General features: G+C 49.5%; 1 protein-coding gene across 4 annotated transcripts in view; it reads right to left on the bottom strand.

Annotated features, from left to right (window-relative positions):
- The window catches only part of SHROOM2 (shroom family member 2), a 163,015-nt gene that overhangs the window by 39,842 nt on the left and 102,331 nt on the right, over positions 1-20,842 (bottom strand). For 2 of the 4 annotated variants that reach the window (NM_001649.4, XM_005274500.5), the window contains exons 3-5: positions 18,494-18,625; positions 12,904-15,244; positions 11,312-11,412 (exon numbers count right to left, since the gene is read on the bottom strand). In NM_001649.4, the coding sequence (NP_001640.1) occupies positions 11,312-11,412; positions 12,904-15,244; positions 18,494-18,625 (2,574 nt within the window). Of the gene's footprint in view, positions 1-33; positions 127-11,311; positions 11,413-12,903; positions 15,245-18,493; positions 18,626-20,842 lie in introns of those variants that run through there. The other 2 variants (XM_011545506.1, XM_017029492.1) reach the window with 1 other exon arrangement.

Below are 20,842 nucleotides of genomic sequence, written 5' to 3'. Positions count from 1 at the left end.
GATATCAAGGGGCATGCTGTCAATGTGACTTACCTGTCAACGTTGGCCCTGATCGCCTGGTGAAGTTGGTATACACCAGTTTCTCCACTGTGATGTTCCTCTCCTCGGTCCCCTTTGCCACACTGTACTCTTTGGAGGGAGCTTACTGTTGGCAGCCCACACTGAGCGGGGAGCGGGGGAGCTATGCTCCACCTCCTTAAGGGCACAGTAGCTACATAAAGTATTTGCAATTTTCTGCACAGCAGATTTCTCTATTCTTCATTTGTTAATTTATTCAACCATCCTGCGTATCAGTCTGGGCTGTGGATTCATTTTATATATTGGATTATAATCCACTACTACTTAATTTTGCTGCTTAACTTGTTCTGCCTTTGGTCATTGTTGGTTCCTGTGTCCCTATGACATACCCACACTGTTGTCACCGCTGGGTTTACATATGGGTGTATTTGAGCGCTTATTTTCTGGCACTATAAGATACTCCAGGCTCATCTTGTACAGTCCCTGCCCCAACCCTAGACTCAGTCATTCCTCTGAGGAGCCCTGGTTCCTTTTATTGGAGAAAAGCCTTAGAAAACAAGTTCTGCATGCTGGCTGTGCTCTAGGAATCCTGTTTTTTTATTTTTGTTTTTATTTATTTATTTATTTATTTATTTATTTTTGAGAGAGGGTCTCACTGTCACCCAGGCTGAAGTGCAGTGGCACCATCATAGCTCACTGCAGCCTTGACCTCCCAGGCTCAAGCGATCCTCCCAATCCAGCCTCCCAAATAACTGGGACTACAGGTGCACCACCATGCCCAGCTAAATTTTTTTTGTAGAGATGGGGTCTCACTATGTTGCCCAGGCTGGTATTGAACTCCTGGGCTCAAGCAATCCTCTCAGCCTCCCAAAGTGCTGGGATTATAGGCATGAGCCCCTGTGCCTGGCCTAGGAATCCACTCTTAAAGGAGACCCTCCAAGAATTCCTTCTAAACAGAAAGCACATTTATAATATTAAAGTTTATAATGTGGCTTTCCAGATACCCATGTTTCTTAGAGCGAGGCATAATTATCAGGGCTTATAAGATGCTCAAATCTTTTTGTAGATTGTATAGTATAATACTATTAAGACTTTAAAATCATAATCATTGTAACAAAATGCATACAAATCTGCTTTTAATTGACACAAAACATTTGTGCCCTTGAAAAAGTCCACACATAAAAAAAGAACAGAATGAAATCACCACCCTAGTACCCTTATGTTCTGAAAGAACTTCCTCCTCACCTCTTAGTCTTGGTGAAACCTTGAACTTTTCTGAGTCACTTTCCATGAATTGAGGGGCATGCCCAGCCCATGTGGTCCAAGGACAACCTTCCCTAACCCAGGCTATCACTAACAAGTCAGAAAAGCTGGTGCTCCAGCATCCTGCGTGCTCCTGCATTCTTGGGCTGTGAACAAGCTACAGCCCCCTCTACTTGGACAAAGCAAACTTCCCCAAGTTAACCACACTAGGGATGGGGAGATGGATATCATGTTGCAAGATAATCGCGAACTATTACAAAGAAGCCTCTTTGAAAACATCCAGACAGACTGCCACTGGGTTCCATGCTCCCTGTGCTGGAAGCACACTCATGTAAGACCATCCCTTACACCCCTCCACTAAGCCCAACATGGTCGGCAAGCAAACCTTTGTGTAAAGGACCAGATGGCAGATATTTTCAGCCCTAGGAGCCATCCGATCTGTTGCAATGACTCAACTCTCTGCCATTATAGAGAGGGAGCAGCCACAGGCCGCCTGTGAGCAAACGGATGTGGCTGCATGCCAATAAAACTTTATTTAAAAAAACAGACAGGGGGCCAGAGTTGGCCTGTGGACCATAGTTTGCTAACCCCTGACTAAAGCAATGATTACACAATCCTTTCCTCTGTTGAGTCATCAATATCTGCTTCCCTAGAACTCGAAACCAGTGAGTCTAGGGGTGCTTTATCATATTCTTCCAAGTAGAGAAGAAAGTTGCTCTGCTCCCCCAGGAACTTGTTTCCAAGTGACCCTGACCTAGACCCCTCAACCCTTTACCATCTGACACCACCCGATTTGGGTGAGCTGCTTGAGAGTGTCGCACAAACCATGAAACCCAAACTCTGCAGATGATTCCGGAAGTGATCTGAGGAAGGATGGGATGCAGGTGTGTGGGATTTGCTTAGGAGAAGGGGAGCCGGGAGGGTGCTCTGGTGCATACAGTGGGCAAACACAGAGTGGAGAGCGGCACGGCAGTGTGGAGACTTTCTATTCAGAGACACAGCCTGTGTTACACCGGCTCCAGTTCTGCTCAGGGAGCCACAGGTAAAACTACCTGTGCCTGGTAAACAGGAGGCAGGGCTGACTCACAGAAAGAAACAAATGACTTGAAGGAAGGGACCAGGCGAGTTCTGCAGAGGACATCCACATACCTGACTCAGAGGTTTCCTTGTCTTGCTTCCTGCTTTAGGGCAGGGCAGGAAGGAATGTGGAGAAGCGAAAGGCCCCTGTGGCTGCTGGGTCCGGTGGGACAGTAGGGATGCTGCCCGCCTCCCCCCTGCCCCAACGCCAGGGGGACCAGCAAGGGCTGGAATCTAGCCAGAGTCCTCTTAGCAGGCCTGCAGGGAGGGCAACCTGGTCACCGTGTGGCTGCTTTTGCGCTATCACGGCAGAGCTGAGTGGTCGCAGCAGGGACACTATGTTCCTCTGAGCCAAACATATTTATCATCTCATCTTCCGCAAACTTTGTCAATCTCTGAACTACAGCTGCTTAATGCACAGACCCATTTTATTTATTTATTTATTTTAATTTTTTTTGAGACAGTTTCACTCTTGTTGCCCAGGCTGGAGTGCAATGGCACGATCTCGGCTCACTGCAACCTCCGCCTCCCAGGTTCAAGCGATTCTCCTGCCTCAGCCTCCTGAGTAGCTGGGATTACAGGTGACTGCCACCACACCTGGCTAATATTTTAGTAGAGACGGGGTTTCACCATGTTGGCCAGGCTGGTCTCAAACTCCTGACCTCAGGTGATCCACCCGCCTTGGCTTCCCAGAGTGCTGGGATTACAGGCGTGAGCCACCACGCCCTGCCTGACAGACCCATTTTAAATTAAAAAAAGTTTTCTTATGGATTCCCAGTGTTGAGATTTTTTTTTAAAGACTGAGATAAAATATATCATAAAATGTGCCCTTTGAAACAGCGCAGTTCAGTAGTTTTTAGTATATCACAGCAGTCACCATCACCACTATCAGATTCTAGAGGATTTTCATTACTCCAGAAAGAAACCCCACGCCCATGAACAGTCTCTCCCTCACTTCTCCCCTCTTAACCCCTGGCAGCCACTAATCTACTTTCTATCTACGGATGTGCCTATTCTGGACATTTTATATAAATGGCATCATACAATATGTGATTTTTATTTTTTTTTATTAGACTGCTAAATGTCTCTATATAAAATCTGTTTCCTTATTTTAATGGTTCTTAGGCTATAAAACACAAAACAAAATTTGCAAGTTATATGCAAGCAAAACTGTAAAGCTGATGTCAGGTCTATATGACAGGTGATGTGGCTTTGCTGAGCATAAACCATGATGCTCGCGGCCCAGGGCACTGCAGTGCCGCTGCTTCTTGGCCCAGCTATCAAAGTTTCCTGGGTGCCACAGAAGGACTCATCTCAGCCATCACTTTTGTTTCGACTAACAGGGCACAGAGCTCTGCTGGCACGGTACCCTGATGTTCTTCCTGTCCCTCATCCATGGGGAGCACATCATTTACAGGGGAGTCCTGAACTTACTCTTTACTTCCACCAAGGGAAACTGTGTCAGCACTGTGGTCAATGAGACTCCCACACACACATACACAGCCATGGTCTTGCACACCATCCACAACACTTGATTTAGATTCTAAGAGCTAGTATGGAAACGAACACACAAAAATTTAAACTGGCAAAGAGGACAGACATGTTCCCAAGGATGTGCTCCAAGTGCCACGTGCGAGAAAGCCCAAAGCAGAAATACATCACTGGCTCCCGCGCCGTCACCGCCCACGCGTCAGTCCTCCCTCGCCCTCCGGCCTTCTGGACTCTCCTGGCGTTGGAGGCGGTGGTGAGCTGTGTGGTATGCAGGGGCCTGAAGCGGGTTGCTCAGCTGGCCCGGTGGGATGCAGACCTGACACGTGCTGCTAGCTCTGGCGGCCTCCTCTAGGAATTCTTTGGGTTTGTGCAGATTTAAAAGACACAAAACTTGTGGGAATATTTGAATGCATTTTCTATTTATATTGAGAAGGAGGTGACTCAGAACTATTTCCTTTTTTATTTCAAATGTGTGGGCCTTCAGAAAACAGATGAGCTAAATCGATTTCTGAGACTAACTGCAAGGACCTAACTGCCACATAAGACACTGAATCTATGGGACTCTTAAGTCAAACTTTAAAAATGAACACATTGGCTGGGTGTGGTGTGGTGGCTCACCCTTGTAATCCCAGCACTCTGAGAGGCTGAGGCAAGAGGATCACTTGAGGCCAGGAGTTTGAGGCCACCCTGAGCAACATGGCAAGGCCTTCTCTACAAAAACTTTTTTTGTTTTTTTAATTAGCTAGGTGTGCTGGCGCATGCCTGTGATCCCAGCTACTCGGGAGGATCACTTGAGCTTGGAGGTTGAGGCTGCAGTGAGCCATGATTGTGCCACTGCACTCCAGCCTGGGTGACAGAGCAAGACCCTTTGAATGAATCAATCGGTTATCAATCTGTACAGCCTTCTGGGTGGATGTCTGTGTCACCTCAGCCCAATCTGGGTGGAGGACTGGACTAGGACACAGCCAAGAGGAATGGAGGCTGGAAGAAGCTAAAGGGGAGAATGGACATCTATGTTTCCAGGTAGCTCTCTGGAGAAAGGTGAAAGCCCCAAAGGATCCCGTAACATGCGAACGCAGCCAAGGTCGGCCCAGAGGCTGAGAGCTTTGAAGAACGCAGCCAGCTGACAAGAAAGGAGGCCAGAGGAGAGGCAGAGCAGAGCGGGGCTGCCACGTCAGCACGTGCTACGGGAGTCTCTCCCCCAAGAGAGGCCGCTGGGGGCTCCAGGGATGGGGCTGCTGGGAAACAAAGGGGCAGCTTTCCACAGGGCTGGATTCTTCTGGAAAGGCAAGTCTCAGGCCACAGCCTAGGAGTCACATGAGGGATCAAGGATCCTGTGCGAGTACAGCTACGTATGTTGGCACCCAACCATGGGGCAGCAACTGTTGTATTTTTTGTAGAGATAGAGTATTGCTAGGTTGCCCCAGCTGGTCTCGAACTCCTGGACTCAAGTGATCCTCCTGCCTCAGACTCCCAAAGTGCTGGGATTAGAGACACGTGCCACTGTGCCCTGCTCAATGACACAAATTCTGTTTGTAGAAGACTGCTTACCTGCCCCATCTAGAACTGAGATGCCTGAGTTAAATTTTCCTCTGCATTTCCCTCTGGCTTCCCTCAGCTCTGGCATCTTGGGGCATTGGTCACTTTCACCCTCCTTTTGCACACTTCTCCCTCCACACGAGGGCTTTGTGGATCTGCCTCCCTGCTCCCGCTTCTCCTCCTTAGCCGAAATCCTGTAACCATAAACTATCACCTGAAAGCTATTCCTTCTAAATAATCTAGAATCACGCGACCAAACCAAAAAGTAAACAAACGGGTGGCCGCCTGTCTCGGTCCTGGGTTTCTTAAAGTCCCCATGGGTATAAATGTAAGGGGAAATTGTAGTTGCAAAGTAAGGCATAAAAACAAGGCCAGGTGTGGTGGCTCACACCTGTAATCTCAGCACTTTGGGAGGCTGAGATGGGTGGATCGCTTGAGCCCAGGAGTTCAAGACCAGCTTGGGCAACACGGTGAGACCTCATCTTTACAAAAAAAATACAAACATTAGCTGGCATGGTGGTGTGCACCTATAGTCCCAGCTACTCCAGAGGCTGAGGTGGGAGGATCACGTGAGCCCAGGAGGTGGAGGCTGCAGTGAGCAGAGGTCGCACTACTGCACTCCAGCCTGGGTGACAGGGCGAGACCCTGTCTCAAAAAACAACATCAAAAAAAGACATAAAGGGAAGTCCGCTAGACCCATGCCGCAGGCTCTCTCCTACAGCTACCGTTTATCCCTTCTGGGGTGAGGGTGTTACATCCGCAAGTACTCCCTGCACAAGAACCTTTCTGCTCAGCATGCAGTACTACACTGTACAAAGCTATGCAGAATGCTGGGCTCTGCCCTGACAAAATTCCAAGATCAAGTTTCACCTTTTTATCCTGACCCGATCCAGCACAGTCTATTCATAATTACCTAGCACAGCAGCTCAGAATGGAAAGCTTCAATTGCCCTGAGCTAATTGAAGGCCAGGGAAAGCAAACATCTGCCCTAAAGTGACAAATGAGGGGGAGAGCTTGGATGATAAATCTCTGTTACTTATTCTGAAATCTACATGAAGGAGCTTGTTTTGTAAATGAAAAATTGGTCTTCACATGAATCTCTGTACACCAAGTCACCTCTCAGGGAAAACATCCAGGAAGATGACCCTCAGGTTCATTTAGCTTGTTTATACATATTATATGAAAGCAAATTTTTCCCTAAAGAGCTCTATTTCGTATGCATTCAATTTTGCAGCTGGTATTGGGATTTAGGATATACTCTCTTTCTTTGCCTCCCCTCCCATCTGTCCCAACAAAATACAAGCCTGAGGTCAGTGCCAGCTCATCAGTGCTTGGCAGTGGCTCCTGCAGGCGGGGGCGGAAGTGGCTGCAAGAAGGCACAGAAGGAAGACACTGCCAGCACCCACAGCTCCAGGGGGCCGCCCCCAGATCTCATTTCAGTGCCAGTCTCTGGAGCCACCCAGAACACAGTCCTCACCCAAGGCCTCTCGAAATTGAGGAGCAACGAACAAATGTGGTACCTCTAAACTTTCCTACAAGGTCTAAAATCTCATACCCAAAACAAATCTGTGCTACCAAATTTATTTTGAGATGTTTATGTCTTCTTGATTCCAAATGCCATGCTAGTGCAGAAGGATAAATAAAGGCCATTTCACTTACTAGTGTGTAAACTAAAATTCTAAATAAAATTTTAGGACACACAATGTACCAATATGGAAAGATTATTCACCACAATCAAGAAAGACTAACTCAAGGAAGGTCAGCCTGGTATTTATCCATTCAGCCACCAATCCATCTGTTTATACATCCACCTACCCATCCTTCTATCTTCCCATTCACTCATCCATCCACCTTCCCATGCCTCCATCCATCCATGCACCCATGTATCCATCCATCCACTTGCCCTCCCCTCTATCCATCCATCTATCCACCCACTCACCCTCCCTTTCATCCATCCATCTACTTATCCATCCATCCTCCCACCCACCCACTTACTTTTCCATTCGTCCATCCAACCACTTACCCTCCCATCCATCCATCCATACACCTCTGCATCCATCCACACACCCATCTATCCATCCATCCACTTACTCTTCCATTCATCCATCTATCCATCCATGCATCCCTACATCTCATCCATGTATCCATCCATGCATCCATCCATCCATCTATCCACTTACCCTTCCATCCATCCAACTATTCATCCACCCACCCTCCCCACCCTCCAACTATCTACCTGAGGACTGGTCCATCCATCTGTCTACTCAACCACCCATCTGTCCATCCACCAGTCCCTCCATCCATCCAACCATTTATTGAGCATGTAATCTGTGCAGGAATTATGTCAGGTACGGGGTACTGAGAAATGAAAAAGTAAAATCCCATCTTCCAGGAGCCAACGGTCCAGCCCAGCAGACAGCAAGGAATAGTGAAGGTGTACAAATACATCCGTGATGTGAGTTTAAGAGTCACTGTCCCCCTGCCAAACCATCCCAGTTTGAAGAGGTTAGCACATTCATGGGGCAGTGGATGTCCACTTTCAAGGTAAACTCTTAAAGATGGATTGACTGAACCAGAAGGTGTGCAGAGCTGTCAGCCTTCAGTTGCATGGTGCCAAGGAACCCTCCAGACAGGTTTCTCAAAAAGCCCTCCAGTCAGGTTTTGCCAAATGCCCCTCTTCTGTGCCACCCACAGGGTGACAGCTCCCTCTTCCCTTCATCTTAAAGGCTTTCACATCTGTCATGAACGTAAAGCCTGATCAGCTCAAGGGTAGGATGACACTTCCTGAGAGAGCTGACAGCAGGTAGAAGTGGTTACTATAAAGGTAGAATGGAGAAGCAGGGACATTTCTCCCAGTGTTAGGGACTGAACTGTGCCCCACAAAATCAATGTGCTGAAGCCATAACTCTTAGTATCTCAGAATGTGACTGTATTGGAAGACAGGGCCTTAGAAGAAGTAATTAAGGTAAAATTAGGTAATTAGGGCCATTGGGGAGGGCTCTGATCCAATAGGACTGGGGTCCTTATAAGAAGAAATGATACAAAAATGCGCAGAGGGACGACCTTGTGAGGACACAGGGAGAAGACGGCATCTACAAGCCTAGGAGAGAGGCCCCAGGAGGAACCAGCCCTGCTCACACCTTGCTCTGGAACTTCCAGCCTCTAGGACTGTGGGAGAATCCACTTCTGTTGTTTGAGTCCCCCAGTCTTGGGGAGTTTGTTATGGCCACACTAGGAAACAGACCCAGCATTCAAGGGGCCCCAAGTCAGCAGGAGAGAGCATTTCCCCAAAGCAGGCTCCAGCTGGCTATGATGCCTGAGCTTGTGGGTCTGAGGTGAAGCCTCTGATGGCAGTGGGGGTGGGGGCTGGGGTGCGGTGGGCTGTTCAGGACAGAAGAGCTGGAGGGAAGCAAACGTGCTGGGTCTGCTCCCTCAGGTTCAGTTCTATTTTAGCTCAAACGCCACCTGTTTCTCCCATAACCCAGCCAGAAGTCACTTTGCTCTATCTCCTCTGAGCTTCTGAAACATCATGTAACTTAAAAAAAAAGTATCATCACTTCAATCTGCCCTACTTGTCTTTATATTAACAGGATCTTGAACTTCACAAAAAATGTTATCTCTATTTGGTTCACATGAGCAACAACAACAAAAAACAATTCCGATCTCAACATTCTTTTGTTATCCAAACAGAATACAATACATACTTTTTGCTACGCATCGATTATCAGAGCAGCACTTCATATGATTTACACAGACATGTTTACGTTATTTGAAACTTATGCAAAACACTGGGTATCTTCAAACCTTTGTATTCTAGATTTTCTTTTTGGTGGGCAAAGAACAATCCCTTGCCTGAACTTTGACTTCTATTATTCTCCATTGAAATTTTTCAAGTGTATTCTTTCTTGCTGGTCCTTCAGAAATTAAAGAGTCTCTGAAAAAAGTTGAAAACAACTTTTCAACCTACATATTCTCGAATTTCATCGCGCCTCACCACTCAAAAAAAAAACCGCACCCAACAATTCTGAAAATTGCTGGGTTGGTAGCTCAAAAGCAGAGAGTTTCTGGAACTAATTTCTTTGGAGTGGTTATGCAGTCTGCTGGGAGACATGGCCTTGATGAATGAAGCAGGGGGCCCCGCTTCCTCTCGACCCTTTCAGTATCGACAGTGCCATTCACTCACTCACACACAGCCTGCACGTGACAGCTGTTCAGGGCGACCCCCTCCATGCACAGCAGAGCTATACACTCTCACCAGCACGGGTGCCCTCTGCACAGATGATACACTGGTGGCATCGGGCAAAGCAAGGCCCGCATGTGCAGAGCCCATCGAGCACTGCCCACGATGCACTGCACGGCCAGCCTCAACGGCCTGGGAGCTGGCTTGGAAAACAGACTGCAGCTGGTGCTCGGCACGTGACCTACTTGGAATCCACAGTCATAAAGCTCTAATTGTGCTTCTCAGACACAGCTAAATTCTGTAGGTGGATTATTCGTCGGCCTTTCTGACCCACGCATTCTTGGTTTCAGCCTCAGAGTCTGTTAAGTAACTGCAGAGACTTCCTACACAAGCACACACACAATATCAATCCTGTCGTTGCAGAGTCACATAAATATTTGATCCCCTTGTAGAAGGATAACAGCTCTGTTTAAGGCCAAATGAAATAAAACCCCATTACATGAGGCTCTTGAAAGCAAACTTTTAAATTGGTAATTTCTGCAACAGAACCTTGAGTTTTGAGGTCAGTGTTTAATGTGAATGTCATGGCAATCACACAACATTCTCAAGGCGACAGAAAAATCCACACCCGGGGACCCTGTCGTGCATTTACTCCCATCCCTCCATCCGCCTTTTTGAAACAAGATTGCACCACATCTTCTGTAGAGACGCACACTCTCTGCCTGCCCTCCTCGTGTGATGAAGGGGAAGATTATACTATTTTTTTTTTTTTGAGACAGGGTCTCGCTCTGTTGCCCAGGCTGGAGTGCAGTGGCGCAATCCCCATTCACTGCAACATCCACTTCCCAGGTTCAAGCGATTCTCGTGCTTGAACGAGTAGCTCAGCCTCCAGGGTAGCTGGGACTACAGGCATCTGCCACCACACCTGGCTAATTTTTTTTTTTCTATTTTTAGTAGAGATGGGATCTCACCATGTTGCCCAGGCTGGTCTTGAACTCCTGGGCTCAAGCGATTCACCTGCCTCAGCCTCCCAAAGTGCTGGGAATACAGGTGTGAACCACCACACCCAGCACAGATTATACTATGTATTTAATCTAACCCTGTCCTTGTCTCAACTAAGCGGCTACGGCGCACATTCTGGAATTATGGCACAAAACGCTCTAATCTCCTGCTGCTGCCACAGTTCCTGCAGATGCTTGAAGCCTCTCTTTGGGAGGTGACTAACTCGATTTCTATTTTAAAGCTCAAAATTAACTCATTAACTAGGTCCAATTTAGGAAGGCCTGCCCTGTTCCTTTCTTACTAACAATCCTTAGAGGCAACTCTGATTTCCAGGCCGCGGCTAGGCACACAGCTGTGTGCTAGATAGCTAAAGCTGCCCTTCCATAAGGCGCTCTGTGCAAAGCGTGCAGCTCCAGTATGTTCAACTGGACTTCTCATTATGTCTCCATAAGCAGTCTCACCGTGCGGAAAACACAGTAGCCATTTTAAGAACCAAAAAATGTCACCGCCGTGTAAGAAGGCCTCCCCGCCCTGGGATGTGTCTCCAGGCAGGGCTGCAGGGTGCACAGGCTCTGCCCAGACCTCCAGTACGTCAGGGATGCTAGAAATCACGCCGGATTTCAGCCGCTTTGGGTTTGGCAAAAGCCAGACATCTAGCCATGTTAACCAAGCACCCACCCATCGTACAGAAGCCCACCCTCAGACGCCTCTTCAGTAACTCTGAATCCAAATTTCACCCACCTCGGCGTGGACTGTCCCTCCTCGGCCCGGACTGCGGAGGGAAGCTCTTCTCTGGGCTCGCCGGGGTCCCCTGCCTGCCTTCGCAGTTCGACAGAAGCTTCCTGCAAAGGGCAACATAATGAGACACCAAGTCCTCAAGCTGCCTTCCTCAGGACATCTGTGATTATGAAAGCCCTCATTTGTGGGTTTGCCTTGCCAGGGCAGTTCTACAAAGCATTTCATTGAGATGACTGAAATAAGACCCCACGTCCACTTCTGTTCTGGGCAGGAAACAACTCCTACGTGAAGCCTGTAAAACCGTGTGGCACAATTGGCCAAAAGAAATAAAATAAAATACAGCTGGTCACAAATTACAGCGGTGAAGCCTCAAGCTCTAGTACTCGTCAGAGCCTGGGATTCTTTGCTCCTGACAGAGCAAGCATGGAATTCTCAGAGGTCATGCTGAATAGCCACAAGCCAGGGTATCCAACAGTGGAAATAAACACTCACAGCATCTGTGTGGATTTTCAGGGCTGGGACGCCACAGAGCAAACCAGCAGCCTTCTTTCCATGCACTTATTAGGTATCTTGTATTAAATTACTAGTGGTTCTTTTTTTTTTTTTTTTTTTTGAGACAGGGTCTTGCTCTTTTGCCCAGGCTGGAGTATAGTGGTGAGAACACAGTTCGCCACAACCTGAACCTCCTTGGGCACCGCCACACCTGTCTTAAGTTTTTTTTTTCTTTTTTTTTTTTTTGTAGAGATAAGGTCTTGCTTTGTTGCCCAGACTGGTCTGGAACTCCTGGCCTCAAGTGATCATCCTTCCTCGGTCTTCCAAAGTACTAGAACTGCAAATGCACCACCGCACCCACCCTGGATTCTTTTAAAAAGAAACTGCATCTATCATTGTGGAACATTTTTTTCTTTGAGATGTGCAAGTGCAGATGTAATAGGGAGAAAAAGCTTTCAAAGGGGGTAGGTGCAAGAGAGAAAGAGACTGTTCACTTTGAAGCAGGGCTAAGAAATATGCAGTTTTCTAGAAAGCTGGACATTAACTCTCACCATCAAAACTCTCACCTTAATAAAGTGCAATCACTTAATGTGTTTTAAATACATTTTGTCCCAGAGCAATCCTTGAAAATACTTGCAAATAAAAAACAGAATACTAAAAAAACCCAAATACTATAAATATTAAAGGTCATCCATCAGTGTTTGAAAAGTGGCTACTGTATGTCATTTTAAGCTTTTACATAAACCACACATTTCCATGTCAGAGGCGTTAGTTATCATTTTCCATAGTTTCTCCCTCCAAGTTCTTTGCTGAGTATGAAGGTAGGAGCAAGCTACTTAAGGGGAAACTCAGTTAAAGCCAGAGATTATGGCAACGAGAACGAGAATGAAAAATGTGGGTTTTCGGGAATATGGCAGTTTAAATTGCCTTGAAGGTGTCAACTTTGTCCCCAAATACCTCTAACAGAGGACACTAGGAGATCTGGAAAAGGTAAATGCTCGCACAGCTGGAGCTGAGTAGCCCTGGCGTCAGCCACTGCATTCTGGGTGTGTCCTGTCCTTGGGTTAAGATGATGGTCAAGGGGGCTGTGGCTCCATGCTTACCTGCTTGTAGTGGTCTGTGGACGGTGAAGACCGGGACCTCCCATGAACGTGCTGCGGCCTCTCCTGTGGGTCCAGGCTCACATCCAGGATGTCATCCGCTGAGTGGCAGCGCCCAGAGCTCCTGGCCTCCAGAGGTTTCCTCTGTTCCTTCCAAGAGGCCTGATACTCTGCAAAGGTGCCGAGCCTCCGCGGCAGGTCTGAAGTCCCTGCCTTCTCCGCTGCGCTGTGAGCGTTGAGGCTGTCCCCAAGGGAGGTGGTGCGCGACCAGGGCTCCGTGCCCTCACATGTGCGGCCCGCTGTCCGCGGCCTCTCTGGCTTGTCTCTCGGGATTCCGTGAAGAGCTTGCTTCTGGGCAGGCCTCTGGGGAACAGGTTTGCTCGTTTCCTCAAAAAACTTCCACCTGTCAGCAAACGTGCCCACAGTATCCTCAGATGTCCTGGGGTGCTGGTGAGGACTGTAGCCCCTCGTGAGGCCCACCTCGTTCATCTTCTCAGGTTCCGAGTAGGACTTCAATTTCTGCTCAGCTGTGAACCGTCTCCGGCCTCCGATGCGGGGCGGGTGGGGCCCGCCACTTGTAGATGAGGGTGGCTGGGCCAGGCCTGCCTCCCAGAAGTGGGGGACAGTGTCTGGATCCCCCATCCGGTGTTCCAGTGACTCCGGGTATAGGTCTCCTGGGTTGGGGTCCAAGTCGCGGCGCTTGAAGGACGTGGCCCTCAGGACCCGGGCTTGGGCCTCTTTCAGGTGGTCTTTATAGGTGCCAGCGAGGGGTCCTTCCTGGGTGCCACCTCCCAACCCGGCCCTCCAGCGGCCGGTGCCATCCTCCGCCTCCCCTGCTGCAGTCAGAGCCACTGTGCTCCGGCTCTTCTGCAGCTTGGCTCTATGCATCTGGATCTCATTCCGCAGGGTGGTGGCAAAGCGGTCGCTTCTTCGGGTGGGCTTGCCCACGTGGGCGTCGAACGGTGGCGGTCTGGTGGCGCTGTCCTCTGGACTGCTCTCAGGCCGGCGCTTCCCCTCCTGGGTCAGGGAGTGCAACAGGGGCGTCTCCTGCGGGCAGATCCTGCTGCTCTCCCCATCTGCCCACGTGATGCTGGCTGCCAGCCTCTGGCTGGCTTTTTCTGCACGGCTGGCCCTGGGAGGCTCCTGGGCTCCCGCGGAGCAGCCCTCGGCCCCTTTGTCCAGCGGGTAACACCGTCCTGTCTCGCGGGCATCCGGAGGACCCTCAGGCTGAGGTAGGTGATGGCGTGGGCTCTGGCCCACCGTGGGTGGGGGAAGACTCTCGAGGGCTCCAAGGGCTGTGTCAGAAGGCCAGCATCCCGCCCAGAGCTGTGCTGCTTGCAGGTCTCCCTGCACACAGGGCCGGGGACCCTGCCAGCCGCTCCCCAGCTTCTGGTCACAGCTGCTGAGCCCCCTCACCTGAGGAGGGCTGTCGTTCTGGAAGCTGGCAGCCCCTGGCTCCTGCCCAAGGCTGTCAGCACAGAGGGGGCTGTGGTCGCTGTATAGGGGAGGGTGTCGGCCGCTATGAGGAGACTGAGGGAAGCGCACATCTGAGCTGGACAGAGAGGCCTGCAGCCTACTGGAAGCTCCATCCTTGGAGGGCGGCCAGCTGCCGTCTGCGTGGGCCTCCTGTGGGCAGCCCGGGCCTCCCGATCCCTTCCCGAGGCTCCCCGGGTGTGCTGACCTCCAAGGCCGATCGGTGAGCTCTGGTCTCCGGTCACCACGAGGCTGAGCCTGGGCCAGGGCCGTAAAGTGCTGTGCCGCAGCCGCCTCTGAGAACACAGGGCCCTGGGCCTTCTCGTGGCTCTTGGTGGCAGCAAAGCTGTCACTGCGGAGAGGGGGAGGGGGAGGAGGTGGGGATGATGGTGCTTTCTTCTTATCGGGAACATACCAGACTGGCCCAAAATTGGACCTCCCAGGGGCAGCCAGCTTGGGCTCGGCATTGTACTCTGGCCTGGGGCCTTTGCCGCTGTCACCGGGGACCCTGGGCGGGAAACAACTGAGCTTCTCCTCCGAGCCCTGAGGGTCGCCTGCGGCCTGGGCCTGCCGGCCACCCTGCCTGGGAGCCTCCCAGAGGCCCACAGTGTAGAGGATGTTCTCTGCGGAGGACGTGTCGGCTTTGGACAAGGTGTGGTCAGGAGTGCTAGAGCTGGTGGAGAAGGAGCCGTAGGCCGAGTCGCGCTTGCTGTGGCTGCCCAGGTGGTCGATGCTGCTGTTGGACTTGGCCACCGAGAGGCGACTGGAGGGGTGGTCCAGGCTGTCAACGCTCCCCAAGGAGCTGAAGTGATCTAAGGTGCGCTGTAGGTTCGTCTGCTCCCAGGAACTGGACAGGTCGTGGGAGGAAGAACTGCAAGAATGAGAAGAAGGACAAGGCATGGTGTGCTTTAGCAACAGCAATGGCAAAGGGCAAGGCGGTGGACGCAGCTGACCCTCTGTGGAAATACCAAAATGCCAAACAGTAATTTCCCACGGTGATGTTGCTGAGGCTGAGGTTGCAGCTCAGCACATCTGGATTTTAGTAGAGACACGGAGAAACTGGGCACAGGCTGAAAAGACTGTGTCCTCCCTGTTACATGGCTTTTACCAAACAGATGCCTTGCAACCCTAGCGCACATTCTCAGCCTGATGCCCGGATCGTTGGCAGGCAACGTCTGCATTTACACGTCTATGGTCAATCAACAGTTAAGCGCAGGGGTGGCCACACCACAACTCAGGTTGTTGTTGTTGTTGATTTTGGTTTTTTTTTTTTTTTTGAGACAGTCTCACTCTGTCGCCTAGGCTGGAGTGCAGACGCGTGATCTCAGCTCACTGCAACCTTCGCCTCCTGGGTTCAAGCGATTCTCCTGCCTCAGCCTCCCGAGTAGCTGGGATTATAGGTGCCTGCCACTGTGCCCGGCTAATTTTGTTGTATTTTTAGTAGAGACGGGGTTTCACCATGTTGGCCAGGCTGGTCTCGAATTCCTGACCTCAAGTGATCTGCCTGCCTCGGCCTCCCAAAGTGCTGGGATTACAGATATGAGCCACCGCACCCAGCCCAAATGGTTTTTATATGTTTTATGGTGGGAGAAGAGGCATACTATTTCTCCTATTTCACCTGTGAAAATGATATGAAATTCAAATTTCAGTTCATACATGAAGCTTTACTGGAACCCAACTGTGCCCATGTGTCTGCGTAGTGTCTGTGGCTGCTCTTGGGCTATAATGAAAGAGCTGAGTAACTGCAACAGAGATGTGCGGCCTGCAAAGCCAAAAGCATTTACTAGCTAGCCTGTTACAGACCAGGTTTGGTGGCTCACACCTGAAATCCCAGTGCTTTGAGACGCTAAGGCAGGAGGATCACTTGAGGCTGGAGGATCACTTGAGGCCAGGAGTTTGAGACCAGCCTTACTTAGCAATATAGTGAGACCCCCATCTCTATAAAAACTTTTTAAAAAATTAGCTGGATGTGGTGGTGCATGCCTGTAGTCCCAGCTACTTGGGAGGCTGAGGTGGGAAGATGGCTTGAGCCTGGGAGGTTGAGGCTGCAGTGAGCTGTGACTGCGCCACTGCACTCCAGCCTGGGCAATGGAGTAAAACCCTGTTTCAAAGATAATAATAATAATAATAATATCACACACTGCTGTGTTCAGCTTTCAGCTAACTGGTTATACCCTACAGAGTTATTGACACTCACACCAAAAAACACAGGCTCCTAAACAGGATGGTGTCTAAGAGGATGAAATTGACGGTGAGTTGACACATTGATTCCTCTGTAAGGTAATAACTGTGTGTGACTGAGAGCTCTCAATGGTGAAACTATTTATCCAGGATGTTAAGTGCTTTCTTTAAAGCTCAACAAAGCTGAGATGTTCACCCTTCAACAGGAAGAAGCTGTGGCTCCACTAGGTTGGGGGAGAGTGAGGATGAGAGAACCGTGTGACCAGGACAGAACACTGGAGAACAACTGGCTGTCATCTATGGGAGGGAGAGGACTGTTTGGGTTTCCCACCCATCTTCTGTAAGAACAGACCACGTATCCTCAAACCCGGGGCATGCTCCTGACTACCCACCAGTATTCTGGAAGGGACTTTTCTGTGAGATCCCAAGTCCAAGCAGATCTAGAGAACTCTGAGCACTGTTTCCACACAGATGTGGGCAGTGTGCATGTTTCTTTCATCAAGAGACTGCCAAATGGGCTTAATGGAGATCTCATCACCTTAAGTCACTTCAGGAATAAAATAAAAGGCCCACTGTTCACTTAAGTGTTACTACTCAGTTGAGAATCTGTGGCTTTTTGTTTTTTTGTGTTTTTTTTTTCCCCAAAAAATACACTGGGCTCTAAATACCATCATCTTTTGTCACTTTAGGGGTAATGTTATATTTCAGTTGTCTTTCCTTCGTGTCATATAAATCTTTACCTTGCAATTTTACAGACCAGTATTTTTTTTTCTTTTCTTTTTTTTTTTTTTTTAAGAGACGAGGTCTTGCTCTGTTGCCCAGACTGGAGTGCGGTGCTGCAATCATAGCTCACTGCAGCCTCGAACTCCTGGGCTTCAGTGATCCTACTGCCTCAGTCTCCTGAGTAGCTGGGACTACAGGTGTGCACACAATGCCCAGCTAATTTTCTTTTATTTTTAATAGAGATGGGGTCTTGCTGTGTTGTCCCGGGTGGTCTTGAACTCAAACAATCTTCCCACCTTAGCTTCCCAAAGTGTTGGGATTACAGACATGAACCATTGCGCCCAGCCAAGACCAGCATTTATTAACAGCCAAAAACTGAGTGGTTACATTAGCTCCAAACACAGACACATACCTGCGTGTGCACGCACGCGCACACACACACACACACACACACACCAAACATGCTCACTGATACTCACACACTCACATACACATATACATGTGCACACACATGCACATACAAGCAAAGAGATGCACAGGCACACATACAGGCACACACGAACAGACACATGAACACTCATACACATACAAAGACACACACACACAAACGTGTAGAAATACACATGCACACTCACACCCCCCCACACACTCACACCCGTAAACATACACAGATACACACACACACTCACGCAAGCAGGGAGACATCCACACACGCACACCAAAAGCAGACTATCTGCTGTTACCGCCATCCTCTTAACAGGAGACTAGTGAGGATACTGCCACTAACTCCAAGAGGGTTGAGGAGAGGCTACCAAAGCTTAAAGAACCTCTTGGGAGCTTTTACAAGATATACCTGCCACCCCATATATATCTCCTGCCTTCCAGTCCATGTGTAAAACCCTGGAAAGGAGAGGGGTGCCGTGGATGCCACCCCACCGGCTCAGAACCCTACTGCCTGGCATCCCACCTGGCCAATCCCAAAGAAGCTTGGCTGAAACCCAAGTCCTATGCTCCCCTTCTTGCTCATGCCTTGTCTTGCCATTTCATTTTGTGTCACACGCTTGCCGGTTCAGTCAAAAATTCAGAGCCCTCCAACTGTGATTATGTGTCGGTGGCCCAGTCTCATCAGAAACATCAAAATCATTCTGCAGTCAGGAGTGCGCTCCCTGCAGAAGGCTGAACAAACCTGGCATCCTGGACGGGAATGGGTGCCTACCTCGCGTGGTGTCGGCCGGACCAGGAAGGACAGCCGCTGGTGGAGGTGAATGGGGAGGCCGCTAGCTCGGGGTGGCTGTCAGAGAACTTGGTGGCATGCCAGGAGTGAGGCCTCCAGCCCAGCTCGCTCCTCCTAGAAAAGAACGCAGGGGAGGCGGGGGGTCAGGGACTGCACACAGCGCTCACTCTCGTGCCAAACAGTGCAGGGGGCTTGGGGACCGCACACAGGGCACACGCTCGTGCCAAACAGTGCAGGGGGCTTGAGGACCGCACACAGCGCACGTGCGCTTGTGCCAAACAGTGCAGGGGGCTCGGGACTGCACACAGCACATGCGCGTGTGCCAAACGAACAGTGCAGGGGACTTGGAGACCACACACAGCACGTGCACTCTCGTGCCAAACAGTGCAGGGGGCTCGAGGACCGCACGCAGCGCACGCGTGCTCGTGCCAAACAGTGCAGGGGGCTTGGGGACCGCAAGCAGCGCGTGCGCGCTCGAGCCAAACAGTGCAGGGGGTTCAGGGAATGCGCACAGCGCGCACGCTTGTGCCAAACAGTGCAGAGACTGACACTGATCACAGCAACTCAGGCAGGTGCACGGCACCATGTTCAGGGGTTGCCAGCTGAATCCAAACCCACACCTTCTTTTTAGATTTTTGTTCACCACCCATTTGCCCTAACGCAGAGTGGGAATCACAGGCTCTAGATGTGCAGCAGCCCTTATCTTTATTTTTATTTTATTTTTGAGACAGAGTCTCACTTTGTTGCCCAGGCTGGAGTGCAATGGCATGATCTTGGCTCACTGCAACCTGGGCCTCCCAGGTTCAAGCGATTCTCCTGCCTTAGCCTCCCAAGTAGCTGGGATTACAGGCGCTCACCACCACGCCCAGCTAATTTCTGTATTTTTAGCAGAGACCAGGTTTTACCATGTTGGCCAGGCTGGTCTTGAACTCCTGACCTCAAGTGATCCACTCACCTTGGCCTCCCAAAGTACTGGGATTACAGGTGTGAGCCACCACACTCAGCCAGCCCTTATCTCTAAAATGTGTTCCTCCATAAATATGGACAACTGTTAACTTGTCAATTTAAAATCTTACAAATGTAAAAATAAATAAAGAACATTTATTCTAAATAAATAAGTAAGCAAATGTTGCCCTCTCCCTGCCCCAGTATGAACACAAACAGCATCTCCTATCTTTTGCTGGAGAAAAGGTATATGGGTCCCTCAGGCGGCTGGGTCACACACAGTTCAGACAGCTTATCTGTGTCTATTTACCTAGGTAACAAAGTAAAGACAGCCACCTTCTGGTTAACTAAGACTAGTAGCCGCATCTTCCCCTGAGCCTCTTAGTCAACCAAAGATCCCCCCAGGGAGTCATGACAACCCACACCAAAAGGCTAAAGTCCCTTCAGCCAGGGCTCCTGAATATGGACGAGCTTTCCTGGGCTCCCCCGCCACAGTCCCCACCATCCCATGTGTGGCTTCTTAGTGTCTTGGCCACATCTGCCCAGATGTGATGAGGTGTGTCTGGTTAGAAATCCCAATGGATGTCGGTAATGCAATAGGGCCTCCAGGGGAACACTGCTGGGCGTGAGATCCTCCTCCCGAGCTCACTTCTCCAGCCTCATGGTAGGAAGCCAGCTTTACATTTCTCTAATTTGGGACAGAACTGACAGCTGATAACCCAATCAAGAATGGAGAACGAGCTCAAGCGGGCCTCTTTAAATACTTTGTGGAGATCAGATGTTTTTCCCAGCAGGCAAAAACATTAAAGAACATTATGCAATAAAGAACATTTTACAAAATAAAACTGAAAAGCATGTATAACACAAACCTTTCGATGACTCAGATCATTTTAACGAGGAAAAGTATACGGGTGGCAAAATGTGGAACATGCTGACTTTATGACAGTTTCCCAGGAACCAAAGAGAAAGTATAAAAGACAAATTCAGCACCCCATGGAAGGAAAGCAATTGTAAAACCCAGACTGTACCTCATGGAATTTCTCAAAATCCTCGTAAGGAAGGTTCTGGCCATGTGAATTTCATTTTCAGCTGGCTTTCTCTGTGCTATGACATCCACAACTTCTTTCATCTTCCTTTATAGTTAATTAATGAAGAAAATAAACTAGACTGACTGAAACTGGAGGAAAGGGGAGAAAAAGAGAAGGCTAGGAAAAGAAAACGTCTGACACTCAAGACGACGCTAGTTCAGCCCTGCTTCGGGAATAACTGGGCTACTAGCTGGTTTAGAGGGTCAGCAGTTCTCCATGGGTACAATAAAAGTTCTCCCAGATAAACTATCATTAGCAAGCACATATAAGAATATTAGCAACAGATTTTGTTCTCACA

This window comes from Homo sapiens, chromosome X (genome assembly GCF_000001405.40).
Source record: "Homo sapiens chromosome X, GRCh38.p14 Primary Assembly".
NCBI lineage: Eukaryota > Metazoa > Chordata > Mammalia > Primates > Hominidae > Homo > Homo sapiens.
The sequence above is the reverse complement of the archived record's forward strand: the minus strand, read 5'-3'. Positions and strand labels throughout refer to the sequence as shown.